Source organism: Homo sapiens, chromosome 7 (genome assembly GCF_000001405.40).
Source record: "Homo sapiens chromosome 7, GRCh38.p14 Primary Assembly".
NCBI lineage: Eukaryota > Metazoa > Chordata > Mammalia > Primates > Hominidae > Homo > Homo sapiens.
In genome coordinates, this window is record NC_000007.14 from 70,483,304 (window position 1) to 70,497,432 (window position 14,129).

General features: G+C 44.7%; 1 protein-coding gene across 25 annotated transcripts in view, besides 1 other annotated feature; it reads left to right on the top strand.

Moving 5' to 3' along the window:
* Nucleotides 1–14,129, top strand: part of AUTS2 (activator of transcription and developmental regulator AUTS2) — a 1,195,032-nt gene that overhangs the window by 884,829 nt on the left and 296,074 nt on the right. The window lies entirely within an intron of this gene.
* Nucleotides 13,312–13,819: an enhancer, noted in NCBI's record as "H3K27ac-H3K4me1 hESC enhancer chr7:69961601-69962108 (GRCh37/hg19 assembly coordinates)". NCBI's record gives its function as "activates a minimal SCP1, AML or CMV promoter by ChIP-STARR-seq in primed H9 embryonic stem cells {active_cell/tissue: H9 hESC(primed)}" and the evidence as "EXISTENCE:reporter gene assay evidence [ECO:0000049][PMID:30033119]".

Consider the following 14,129-nt stretch of genomic DNA (forward strand, 5'->3'; position numbering starts at 1 on the left):
TACAGCGTTTGACCTGCTAGGGTGAGGCAAGTGAATTGAGAAGTTCCTGACTTTCCTCATTGCCAACTAGTCATGTTCCTCGGCTTCCCTCTTCCAGAATAAACCAAAATAAAATAAAAGGGACTGCAAATGCCCATGACTTAGATGTGTTAGAGTCCAGCTTCTGTTTCCCCCATTTGGTCCTGATTTTCGAAGTGAAGGGGAGACAGGACTGAGTGGCATGGTGGTGAGCAACCCGTGTGCTTAGCCCAGCGGCTCTCTGGTTTGTCATTGTGGTATCCCTCTCTGGACCACAGTTTCCTCATCTGGAAAATGAAGATCTAAGGCTAGGTGATTTTAAAGTCCCTTTCAGCTCTAAAATATTATTTTACAGTTGTAGGATTTATGGAGGAGAACGGCATTCCGCTCTATCCCTTGCTTTAGCCTTTTGAATGAAAGTGAGATGTCTCATCAGCTCAGATAGAGCCAGCTCAAGCCCAGTGTCTCAGATAAAAGGAGAAAGAAAAAAAAAACTTATTAAAGATAGCTAAGTTCCCTTGATAAGCAGCAAGTGAGAAATCCTGATTTAATTTAAATATGATATTTCTGTCTTCATTAATTTAAAGCATGTATATGATAATGTATCCTTTTTTATTTAGTGGTCTGCCCTGAAGGGAAAGAAAGGCTTGATTGTGAAGCAGAGGGGCAAAAGCTTGGGTATATTTTAATAAAGATGAATATCCCTAAAAATGCTTGAATTATTATGGAAGTAAGATTTGTTGCAAGTTACAAATCAAAGCCTGAATTGTCACTTATCTCCTAATGATACTTCTACACAGATTATTAATTTCATTTTAGAAGCCCAATGAATGTTATATTTTATGACATTGATTAAACATCTTGCTGCCATCTAACCATCCATCCTTTTCATTTTCAAAAATCCATATCGGAATTTAACAAAAACAGCTCATAAATTTGTATTTTACAGCCTAGCAAAGTTGACTGGTTCTCTACTCTACTTACCCTCGGGCCCATTCTGAACTCTGGGCTTGGGCCATTTCCACTCTTAGAAGTCAGCTTTTCCAAACTGACATCATGTTTTGTGGTCAGAGTAGTACTTGGGGATTTGTTTGGAAGAGCACGTGTGGCTTCTGGAGCTGCAAAGCCACCAGGGGAGTTCTGAGGTGGTTGGGGTTAGCCCCTGACGGGAACTCAGGGTCTCAGCTTTCATTCTCATTCTTAGACAAGCTAGTTACCTCCCTCCTCAGTATCCTAGGGATAATTATGCCCTCCCCAGGGGGCTCCCAGTGCCACTGTGGGGATGAATGAGACAGTAGATGTGAAAGGTCTTCTTGCTCTTTAGAGGCAAGCAGTGTGGTAATGGATTTAAGAGCCAATAAAGAACAGTGAGATTGTAGGTTTAGGATCAACCTTAGGCATTATAGGAAAGGTGTAGGATGACTTGAAAGCAGGGATAAAAGCCTTTTGAAAATATCTCCACCATGTTATTATTTATCAAACGTTTGTCAAAAGAAGTACCTCTGGACATAGACAGTTCTCAAAAAAGATATACAAACAGCCAATAAACATATGAAAAAATGCTCAACATCACTAATTATCAGGGAAATGCAAAGTAAAACCACAATAAAATACCACCTTACTCCTGCAAGAATGGCCATAATTCAAAAGTCAAAAAATAATAGATGTTGCCGTGGTTGTGGTAAAAAGGGAACACTTCTACACTGCTGATGGGAATGTAAACTGGTACAACCACTATGGAAAACAGTATGGAGATTCCTTAAAGAACTAAAAGTAGAACTACCATTCAATCCAGCAATCCCACTGCTTGGTATCTATCCAAAGGAAAAGAAGTCATATGAAAAAGACATGGCGCACACATATGTTTACAGTAGCACAGTTCACAATTGCAAAAATATGGAATCAAACTAAATGCCCATCAATCAACAAGTGGATAAAGAAAATGTGGTATATATACACCATGGAATACTACTCAGCCATGAAACAATGGCCTTTGCAGCACCATGGATGGAGCTGGAGGCCATTATTCTAAGTGAAGTAATTCAAGAATGGAAAACCAAATGCCGTATGTTCTTACCTATAAGTGGGAGCTAAGCTATGAGGATGCAAAGGCCTAAGAATGATATATTGGACTTTGGGGACTCGGGGGAAAGGGAGGGAGGTGAGTGAGGGATAAAAGGCTACATATTGGATATAGTGTACACTGCTCAGGTGACGGCTGCACCAAAATCTCAGAAATCACCACTAAAGTACTTATCCATGTAACTAAAAACCACCTGTACCCCAAAAAACTATTGCATTTGTAAAAATAAATTTCTGAACCCTTCAAAAAAAAAGTATCTCTGGTTTCACGAGACTCATATGTGTGTTTCCTCAAAACCACTGTGGGCTCATCCTTTCCCTGGATTGGCTCCCATTAGGGGACCCCGTGTGTTCCTGTCACATTTCCTTCTTTATAATTGTGATCTTTATGATTGCTGTTCATTTCCATCCAGCGAGGGTGCTGGCACCTGGATCGCCATGCAGGGTGCAGCTGTGGCCAGCTCTTCCTCCAGGAAGGAGACCTGAAGAGACGTATTCTGAGAAGCCTGAATTCGACTCTACATTGAAAAATTAAGGACTGGCAACCAAAGGCTGTCACTTGTTGAAGAAAAAAACCTTAATTAAAAAATAAATAAATAATAAATAAATAAATAAATAAATAAATAAACCTAATGAAGCTGAGGGTCAAGGGGCATCGGGATAAACTGTTTTGCAAGGGTTGATGACATTAGGAAAAATAACTCTATTAAATCAGAAGTCTGCCTCTGCCAGGTAATCCTTACCAAAAGTATGCAAGAAGCTTGAGAGATCAGCCCTAGAAGGAAAGGTGCCACCCCAGTCCTCCAAGGGCACAGGGCACAGGGGTTAGCATGTAAGCTTGCTAGTCAGGCTGCTGAGGCTCACATCTTGTCTCTCGCTGTACCCTTGGGGAAGTTATCAAACCTTGCTGATCTTTGGTTTCTTCATCAGCAATAGCCCTGTCACCTAGGGACATTGTGAAGATTAAATGAAGTAATAGTAGTATATGTCAAGTGCTTATTAGTGCAGTGTCAGGCCAAAGTTAGTGCTTAATAAATGTTAGTTGTTGTTTGGCCAGGCACGGTGGCTCACGCCTGTAATCCCAACACTTTGGGGGCTGAGGCGGGAGGATCACTTGAGGTCAGGAGTTCGAGACCAGCCTGACCAATATGGCAAAAGCCCGTCTCTACTAAAAAACAAAAAACAAAAACAAAACAAAACAAAAAATTAGCCGGGCATGGTGGCACATGCCTGTAATCCCAGCTACTTGGGAGGCTGAGGTGGGAGGATTGCTTGAACCTAATAGGCAGAGGTTGCAGTGAGCCAAGATCACGCCACTGCACTCCCGCCTGTGTGACAGAGTGAGATTCCATCTCAATTAAAAAATAAGTAAAAATAAATGTTAGTTATTGTTGTCACGCGTTGGCTGGTAGTCTGTGGTGGTGGTGCTGGTGGTGGTGGTGGTAGTGGTGGTAGTGGTCCTTTTGGTTTCGTTTGTTTTGTTGTTTTTGTATTCCCCCCCCCCCAAAAAAAAAGAAGAAAAGGTTGCATATCATCACTTTAAAAGCTGAAGCAGAGCTTTTCTAGGCCCCACAGGGCCTTTCCCTGTAGGCATGGTGGTAAACTGGTGTTTAGGGACAGAGCATCCTTGAGTGAGGTTGGCTGCTGAGGACAGCCCCTCCCTATTTGGGAGGCAAGGGAGTTGGTATGATAGGAGCGTTACTGGGAGAGGACGGTAGCCGCTTAGTGTGAAGACTTCTCCAGCATGTTGTGAAATGTTCTTGAGTGACACATTTTGCCCTCCTTTTTCTGACTCATCTACCTCATCCTTCTCCTTTCCTCCCCCGCGCCCCCCTCCCAGCCAACCCTCCATAGTGTGCTCCAACACTGGCGATGTTGCATAAAGGGAAAATATGGCGTGTTTACAGAGAGAATTTTCAAGAAGTGTTAATTTAATATGCTAAAGTGTTCCCTTCAGCATTTTACCTTTCTTGTTGTTTTCACAAAACAGCCAAGACTAAATAATGAGCCCAGGGCTGTGCCCTTTGGTAGCGTGATAGCTCATTACCCACTAGCGGCCTCCATCTGCCCTCATGGCTGCATAGGGAGCCATTACGATTATGATGGAAATCTCAGAAGCCATTACCAAGATGCAACAGAGGGCCTACTGCAGACAGCCTAATGGACTAATTTGTAATTGGGAGAGGGAAATGAGTTAGCGAGCTGGGGCCGGTTTTGATGAGAGTGGAAGTGCGCATGCTAAATGTGATAAATGAATAGGAATGTGTGTTTGCACAGTGGGCTCTACAAGCTTTCCATCTCTCCTGGGGACTGGAGGCGTGCTGACAAGCCGTGAGGAGCGAGGAGGAAAGGCTCAGGGGAGGCAAGCAAGATTCAAGGAGAGTAGCTAAGGATAAATCGGTGAGGAAAACTAATGGCAGTAAAAATCCAAGGAAATGACTGCATCTGCCATGAAAGTAGTAATTAGGAAGCATTCGGTGTGCATGTCTTTAACCGTTAAAATAGGGGGATGAGTAGATGGAAGGCTGGGGCGGTGGTGGGCCAAGAGAGAAGCCCCTCGTAGAGGGCTCCGAAGGGAGAGCATCCTCAGACCTGGTGGTCTGGGCAAATGCTGCCTGCTCAGAACGGAGCCGAGTCCAGAAACACCACGGGCACCGCCCTTCGAGGGGCTTCTGGAACCCAGCAATGGGAAGGCCTAGCAAGCTCACAGGCAGCCATTGTGCAAGGCAAGGAGGCCAGGCTGCAGTGCCAGACCTGCAGAACATCTGTCCTTGGAGGGCTGGAGAGTCGCTTCATAAGCCCTCGTGCCCGGCGCTCTAAGCTGAGGAGTGCTGGGCACCAGTGTGGCTATGGACAGATTTCTGAAAGCTGGCCTTTCCTTCTGTTTGTCATTTGGCTCCCAGCATTTCATCTGCCCAGCCTGGAGAGTGCGCCAGGTGCCCTCATGGAGGCCGGGGCTTTTGTTTCCACTCACACTGATGGACCTGGTGAAGGGTAATCCCCCCAGTCGGTCTGAGGCCAAGTCCTGCTTGGAGCTGTCCTCATTTTCTGTTTCTTTTTGGCATTTTCTGTTTCTTTTTGGTGTATCTTCTCAGTTCTGTCCCCTAACCTCCAAGCCCTGGTGTTCTTTCTCCTCAGTCAGACCTTCTTAGCCCTGAAAGCTGCAGGCCAAGCCTTAATGGGCCTCTTTTTCCCAGCAACCTGCCGTCCTCAACCCTTTCTCTGGATCTCACTTTTCCTCATGGGCCAGCCTGAATTGAGCCTCAGGATCGTCCTAGCTCTCAGGATTCCTCCTGCTCCCAAACATTCTCATCTCTTTTCCTGGGAGGACCTTTCAGCCTTCCTAAATAGCCTAAGGGAAGACGCGTATCCCTTCAGGGAAGAAGGAAGCACTGGAACCAATTAACTGAACCCCAGCCCAGGGCTCTTAGAACCCTTTCCCAAGGTGAGACAGCCACGTAGCTGACTCTGCCTGCAGTCCCACCTCTGTCCCACGGGCTCACTTTTCCCATCACATTCCCTAGTACACAGGAAAAGTTCCCATTTTCTTCACCAAGCACTAGAAGAGGTTTCTAATTAGCTCCCTAATGGGATGATGACAGTCCTGTTCAGCAAAATTTTATTGTCAGCCTATTTGATTGATTATGTGAGTGATTGATCCCACCTACTTTGAAAATGAATTTGAGGAAACCAACAAAAAACACAGATACATTGAGACCCCAAAGCAACTCATTCTGGGAGAAGGCAATCAATAAATACAAAAGGCAGAAAAACATTCTCAAAACATAGTACAAATTAAAGAAAGTTATTGAAAAAACACAAATGCGGTTCTGCTGTGACAAGCAGTCATAGAAAAGGAACAACTGGATGAATGTCATGGATTAACAATGGAAGCATATTATTTAATCAGGGGCAACTGACTTTTTCCCATCCAGTGTCCGCTGTTAAGTATAGCATTGGTTATGTCATCAATATCCCTAAACCAAGAGCCTCATCATACAGTCCCATCAATGTTGTATAAAAGACCTAGATTTTCTGTGTAAAGGTATTGCTTAGATATCCTTCAGTAAACCCCCCCAGAATGTGTCAACCTAGGACAAAGCCGTAGAGAGACGACAAAAATCAGGTTCCTGCTGTGCCCAAGTTCCCACTTTAGTGACGTAGAGATTTATACTTGGGTAACTCTAATTCAGTTACACAGACAGTAACAAAGCATTTAGAAAATGCACAGGAGGACATCATCAACACATTTGACAAATGTTTCTTGAGTACATCCTGTGGGCAGGCACTGAGCTAATCACTGGAGACACAGCATTAAATAAGTGGGAGAACATGGCCCATATCCTCATGAAGCTTATGATGATCGAATTCTGACCCAAAGAAGGTATGGTGTGAGGGGAGTATTTGAGCTGAGCTGTGAAGCTAGAAGTTCATTAGAAATCAACAACAATGAGATACCCAGCAAAACCCCAAATATTTAGAAATTAAACAACATATTTCTAAAAAATCCATGGGTCAAAGAGGAAATCACAAGAGAGATTAGATACTATTTTAAACTAAATGAAAATGAAAATGCAACACATCAAAATCTGTGGCATGCAGCCAAAGCAATTCCTCAGAGAGGAATGGTTGTGTTAGATTACATTAATAGAGGAATGCTTGTATTAGAATAGAGGAAAGGTCTAAAATAAATCAAAATTCCACCATGAGGAGGTAGGAACCGAAGAACACAGATAAACCCAATGTGAGAAGGAAGGAAATAATAAAGAAAATAGCAGAAATTATTGAATAGAAAACAACAGTAGAGAAACCAAAGCCAAAACATGGTTCTTTGAAAAGATTAACAAAATTGAGAAACCTGTAGCTAGAATGAACGAGAAACAAATAATAAAAAAAAGAACACAAATACCAATTCACCAAGAATGAAGAAGATGTTATCAGTGCAGATCTTACAGACATTAGAAGGATCATCAGGACAGGAGCTCGACAAGCAGAGGGGAGGTAACGAGTTGCTAGTTCTGTGTGGGTTTGTGGGGTGGAGAGAAGGAGTTGCCATAGCAGGCAGGAGCTGAAAAGATGTGAACCAGAATTGTTGGTTTCTACAGTGACCCAGGACCTGTGTACACAGCCCAGTTGACTGCACCCTATACCAGCAGAGTTCCCACCGTTGAGTGGTGGTCTAATGTGCATGTTAGACCATAGATGCCGAGACTGACAGGTCACCAATGGACCATAATGCTTGGCTTTCAGGGCACCTGGACTTGCTCAAAACATCGTTGAGCATTGGCCAGTAAGTCAATCTGATAGATCTGGGTCCACAGCCCCTAGAACATAGGGGACTTTATTTCTCCCTGCCAACTTCTGGCTTCTGATCATTCAGTCTCATGGATATCAAAACTGACCTGATGCCATCCTGAGGCCATGATATCATCCTTTCCACAGTTTATATGCTTCTGAAAATGGAGCTTTCTTTTTAAAAGATTAAGTCTGAATATTCATGGCAGAAGAAGCTTGCCAAAGCTGGCTGCTCACCTCCAGCTCCCAAGTCAGTATCAGCCTGCCATGGCTTATTCCAGACCCAGACAACATCAAGAGAGAAGGCGGGTGTGGCATGGGCCAGTTTCATCCACTGGTCACAGGACCGGCACCTGTCAGCCATGAGGCTGTAGACAGGGTCCTAAAGTGCAAAGAAAAAGCTGTCAAAGCTTAGTTTTCTCCCCCTGCTCAGATGTTTACCTGGCAGGAGTGCCTGCCGTGTCTTTGTGTCATTGTTGCTCTTTGTGCAACTGGCCTTCCTTATTCTCTCATTATCACACACTCTCTCTCTCTATCTCTGTCTTTCATCTGTCCTATTATTCATCTGAGTGTGGACTCAAAAGAACCAGATTCTGATCCTGGGCAGGCTCCCTTTCCTTTACATATCTTAATGTGACCATCCATAAAATGAGGGAAATGAGAGTGCCATCTCATAGGCTCATGGCAAGTTAAATGACTTGGTGTGTGTGCGTGTGTGTATACACACACACACACACACATATATACACATAATATATATGTTATATATACACATAATATATATGTTATATATACACATAATATATATGTTATATATATACACACAATATATTATATATACACATATATGTTATATATAATATATTATGTGTATATATAATGTATATATATTGTGTGTGTGTGTGTGTGTGTGTGTGTGTGTGTGTATTTTTTTGAGACAGAGTCTCACTCTGTTGTCCAGGCTAGAGTGCAGTGGCGCAATCTCAGCTCACTGCAACCTCTGCCTCCCAGGTTCAAGCGATTCTCCTGCCTCAGCCTCCTGAGTAGCTGGGATTACAGGTGCCCAGCACCATGCCCAGCTAATTTTTGTATTTTTAGTAGAGATGCGGTTTCGCCATGTTGGCCAGACTGGTCCCTACGTCCTGACCTCAGGTAATCCGCCCGCCTCGGCCTCCCAGAGTGCTGGGATTACAAGTGTGAGCCACCGCACCCGGCCAAATGAGTTAGTATATTTTAAAAGCACTCAGACCAGAACTTGACACCTAGGAAGCACTAGATGTTTTACCAAATCACAGGCCTAGGTGTGGTGTTCTTCAGCCTTCCTGGCGCCTGTGTTCCTCAGGCTGACCACGCTGGATTCCTCTTCTGTTGGAAGCTCCTCCACCCCACCCCTCCCAGTGGAGACCTGCCTGCCTCACTGCCTGCAGGCAGCCTGGCCCAACAGCTGCAGTATAGGCACAGGGGGCATTGCTCAGGGGTGCAGGTGTTCCCTAACCCTAAGTTGAGACCTGAGGGTCTCATTAGGTCCTCCAAACTTCCAAGATTGTATACTTAATGAATTGGAGGGTTTCACCTTCCCCCAAATAGCCATTGAGCGAATCCAGCCACCACTCCCGTCAGGTCCTGGCTGTTCATGTTGACACTGATGCTGGCGAGAGGGGAGTATCTTGAAAGGGCAGAACAATTGGGGTGAGGATGGGGAAGAAAAGGGAGAAAGAGATGCCCTCAGGTGGGGAATTTAATTTAGTCACATGATAGTAGCATCAGGCACTTGTGTTTTACTTTTCTCAGAACATTCTCACATGCATTCTCTTACTGTATCCTTACCACAAGTCTGGGAGCTAGCTGTGGCCGAAGTGGGTATTTTCTCTAGAAACAAAAGAGCTGAAGCCTAGGAAGGCTGAAGGACTTGCTCAAGGTCATGCAGCTACCTAGAGACAAAGCGGAGACCATAAGCCCAGAAGTGCTGATTCCCAGGGCTCCCTGCAGGGGATCATGTATAGAGAGTCACTGTGAACTGCTGTCTGAGCAAACTACGTGACCCCCTCTTGGCAAGACGAAAGGCCTTGGCTTGGAGCAAGATGGATGGAGAACACTCCGGGCCCACACTATGCTGTTTTGAAACTGTGCCAGAGAAGAGGAGTGGCCTGGAAGTGCAGCCCCCTCTGTTGGGTGTTTCTGAGAAAGTGTTTTTCTCCTTTGCTGGATTTAATGAATAAATTATAATAACTTTTGCGTTTTTATCCACATTATGCATGTTTATCTGCCCTTCCCCCGTAAACCCCCTTTCCCACTTCCACGTAGTACTATATTTCTTTTCATGTTTTATCTTTGGGAACTTGCCACTGATAATTATTTTTTTAAAAAGCTCATTCCTAGTGATTGCTGGTAAAGATGCACACCTCTTCATTTTCTAAAAATGTATATGCTCAGGACCAAAAATTCAGGGAGGCATGTGTGGGAAAAGGTATATTTCCACTTCCAAAGAGAGGGTACTTTTTCAGAAGCTCAGAAAAGGAAAGGGGAAAATGTTATATGAGCCCTGGTGGTATGTGAGCTCCTTGGGGGAATACATGGTTGTCTTATCTGTCTCCAGCTCTTTGAATAGATCTTGCATGCAGTAGCATGTGAGTACATTGATGGAATGCATGTACCAAGGAGCAGCTGGATGGCTGATGGGCTGGATGGCTAAGTGAGTGCATGGATAGATGGATGCCCAAGCAACAAAGTGAAACCTCATTTGGCTTGTTGTGTCAGAGAGCCTTCTTAATTACTACTCTGGATTTCACTGCTATATTCTATTCTGGCCAAGTCTTGGAATTTCTTTATGTTCTAGGTGGGAAAAGATTACTTCTATAATTCATCAAGGAAAATACTAACTTGCTCCCCCAGAGAGCTGGGGGAAAACACATTAATATAAATATAATTGAGGAGTGGAAACAAAGTCTAGGAGGAGTTAAAGCATAAGTATCAGCCTGGATGTGAATTCTAATATAGGAATTAGAATTCCTATATTAAAAATTGTATTAGAAACCTTTACTTTCTTGTGATTTCTGTTAGTTCAGTAAGTAACCTTTCTTGGAAGGTCTACTAATTCCTTTCAAAAAAGATATTTATTTTATATCTTACTATAATATACTAAGCACTGTTATTGCTAGGGTGTTTTGAAGGGGCAGGAGATGGTATTTAAAACTGAGTTGCAGTTCTAGGCAGTTAAATAAAATCCACTGACCAGAAAAAAATATGTAAAATGATAAGGCAGGATAAGTATTCACTGCCAAAAAGTCAACAAAGAAAATAGTAAGGATTTATGTTCAGCAATCCCTGAGATTAAAATTTAAAATAAATAAATAGGGATAGTACGATTTGAAATCGGCGTCCTCTTTGAACTAGGAATTCAAGACTCAGAATAAAATGGTCCTTTTCATTGCAGAGCTGATCTTTGTGACCAACATCTTGTCTCCACCAGGAACATTTTAGTTGAGAAGCAGGAGAAGTCATTGCTAAGAAGCTTGGATTTTCAAAGAAACAGATATCAAATTGAGAAATCTCTACTAATCTTTCCCTTCAGAGTCTAGGCTTGGGTATTTTTTTTTTCAAAACTACATTTATTTTACAGATAATCAAGACTCTGACAGAGTTTTATGTCTTTTTATCACTCTTTATCTTGAAAAGCATTGTTGGCCTAAGGTTGAATCAGCCAAACACTCAGCCTCATGAAGAGCTTGTCTGGGGCCCATGGCGAGGAAAATGCCAGAATGTAAGTGCTTTAGAGACGGGAGCCATAATTGCAATGAGAAGGGGAGCTGTGGCTGGCTCTGACTGCCCTGCTTCCCACATTTTCTTTTAACGAGTGTCCCCACGTCCCCACCGCCCCTCCCCCCCGACACTCAGATCCCTTCAGTTCCCACTGGCTGCCATTTTCCCTTGCTCTGCAGCCTCCAACTCCACTCCACTTAAGAGAACAGACTGGAGACTGCTGGAGGCCCTGAAGTGATTTATTGCTTAGCAGGAACTTCACTAAACTTCCCAAGTTGATTTTTTTTAGTTTTGAAAATCAAACAAAGTTCAAAAAGTAAACATCACAGGTTGACATCCCAGCCCAAAGCTGAGGAAAAATGTCTCTTGTTACATTTTTTGGCACATAATAGAATTTATGAGCATTTTCAGTGTTTTGATTTTTTTCCCCAGTCACTGTTATTCCTTACCCTCCAGAGTTAGGTGTGGAGAGATTATGTTGGCCTGTTTCCATGGTGACACTGAAGAAAAGTAATTTTTTAAAGGAGGTTTCTACTGTGTTATTTCACATGCATGAAACATCAACATCTATGCTGTGTGGCTATTACCCCTAAACATAAAGACACAGAAATGGTTGGAGTATTTTATATAAATAGACAAGTAGGGTGATATTTTCCTTGGTCTCGTGCCGACCCTAGTAACAAAAGTCTCTCAGTTACCCAGGGCACCTGGGAGAGAGTGAGGGAACAGTTCTGTTCAGTGTTAAGCAAGCTCCTCTCCTGTGAATAACCTTTTCTTTAAAAAAAAAAAAAAAAAAAAAAAAGCTCAAGTTGAAAGTCCACCCCCCTTCTACTTAAACTAGGGACCAGATGAAAAGTTCCTTTTGGGGCTCACTGTTCAAAGAACCAGGATTAATCTCTGTTTTCGATGTAGCTTACTTGGTCAACCACTGCAAGTATTCCCCTTATCTGTCCAAGGCGTTGTCTAGAATCTTCTTGCCCCAGTAAACAGTTGCTTACAGTCTCCTAGAGTGAGGTTGGTTAGGGTAAGTATATACCTTTAGCAGCAGAAATTTGGTGAAACTCTTTCCGCCACCCTACACATAGACACACACCCCCCGCACATGCACACGTCACATCAGCATCAATCACACACCCCACTCACACACACCACGTACACAGTCGCACACACACACCCCACACATGCACACGTCACATCAGCATCGATCACACACCCCACTCACACACACCACGTACACAGTCACACACACACACACCCCACACATGCACACGTCACATCAGCATCGATCACACACCCCACTCACACACACCACGTACACAGTCACACACACACACACCCCACACATGCACACGTCACATCAGCATCGATCACACACCCCACTCACACCACGTACACAAACACACACACGCCCCACACATGCACATGTCACATCAGCGTCGATCACACATCCCACTCACACACACCACGTACACAGTCACACACACACACCCCACACATGCACACGTCACATCAGCATCGATCACACACACCACTCATACCACATACACAGTCACACACACACACCCCCCCCACACACATGCACACGTCACATCAGCATCTATCACACACCCCACTCACAGACACCACATACACAGTCAGACACACACCCCACACATGCACACGTCACATCAGCATCGATCACACACCCCACTCACACACACCACGTACACAGTCACACACACACACACCCCACACATGCACACGTCACATCAGCATCGATCACACACACCACGTACACAGTCACACACACACACACACCCCACACATGCACACGTCACATCAGCGTCGATCACACACCCCACTCACACACACCACGTACACAGTCACACACACGCACACCCCACACATGCACATGTCACATCAGCGTCGATCACACACCCCACTCACACACACCACGTACACAGTCACACACACACCCCACACATGCACATGTCACATCAGCATCGATCACACACACCACGTACACAGTCACACACACACACACCCCACACACATGCACACGTCACATCAGCGTCGATCACACACCCCACTCACACACACCACGTACACAGTCAGACACACACACACACCCCACACATGCACACGTCACATCAGCATCAATCACACACCCCACTCACACCACGTACACAGGCACACACACACACCCCACACATGCACACGTCACATCAGCATCGATCACACACCCCACTCACACCACGTACACAGTCACACACGCACACACCCCACACATGCACACGTCACATCAGCGTCGATCACACACCCCACTCACACCACGTACACAGTCAGACACACACACACACCCCACACATGCACACGTCACATCAGCATCGATCACACACTCCACGTACACAGTCACACACACACACACCCCACACACATGCACACGTCACATCAGCGTCGATCACACACCCCTCACACACACCACGTACACAGTCACACACACGCACACCCCACACATGCACACGTCACATCAGCGTCGATCACACATCCCACTCACACACACCACGTACACAGTCAGACACACACACACACCCCACACATGCACACATCACATCAGCGTCGATCACACATCCCACTCACACACACCACGTACACAGTCAGACACACACACACACCCCACACATGCACACGTCACATCAGCATCAATCACACACCCCACTCACACACACCACGTACACAGGCACACACACACACCTCACACACATGCACATGTCACATCAGCGTCGATCACACACCCCACTCACACACACCACGTACACAGTCACACACACACACACCCCCCACACACATGCACACGTCACATCAGCGTCGATCACACACCCCACTCACACACATCACGTACACAGTCGCACAGACACACAATCACTTCTTGAGGCTTCAGACAGGTTGCTTTATCTAGGGCAAGTCAAAGTTTGGAAACAGAAGAGGTCATGATG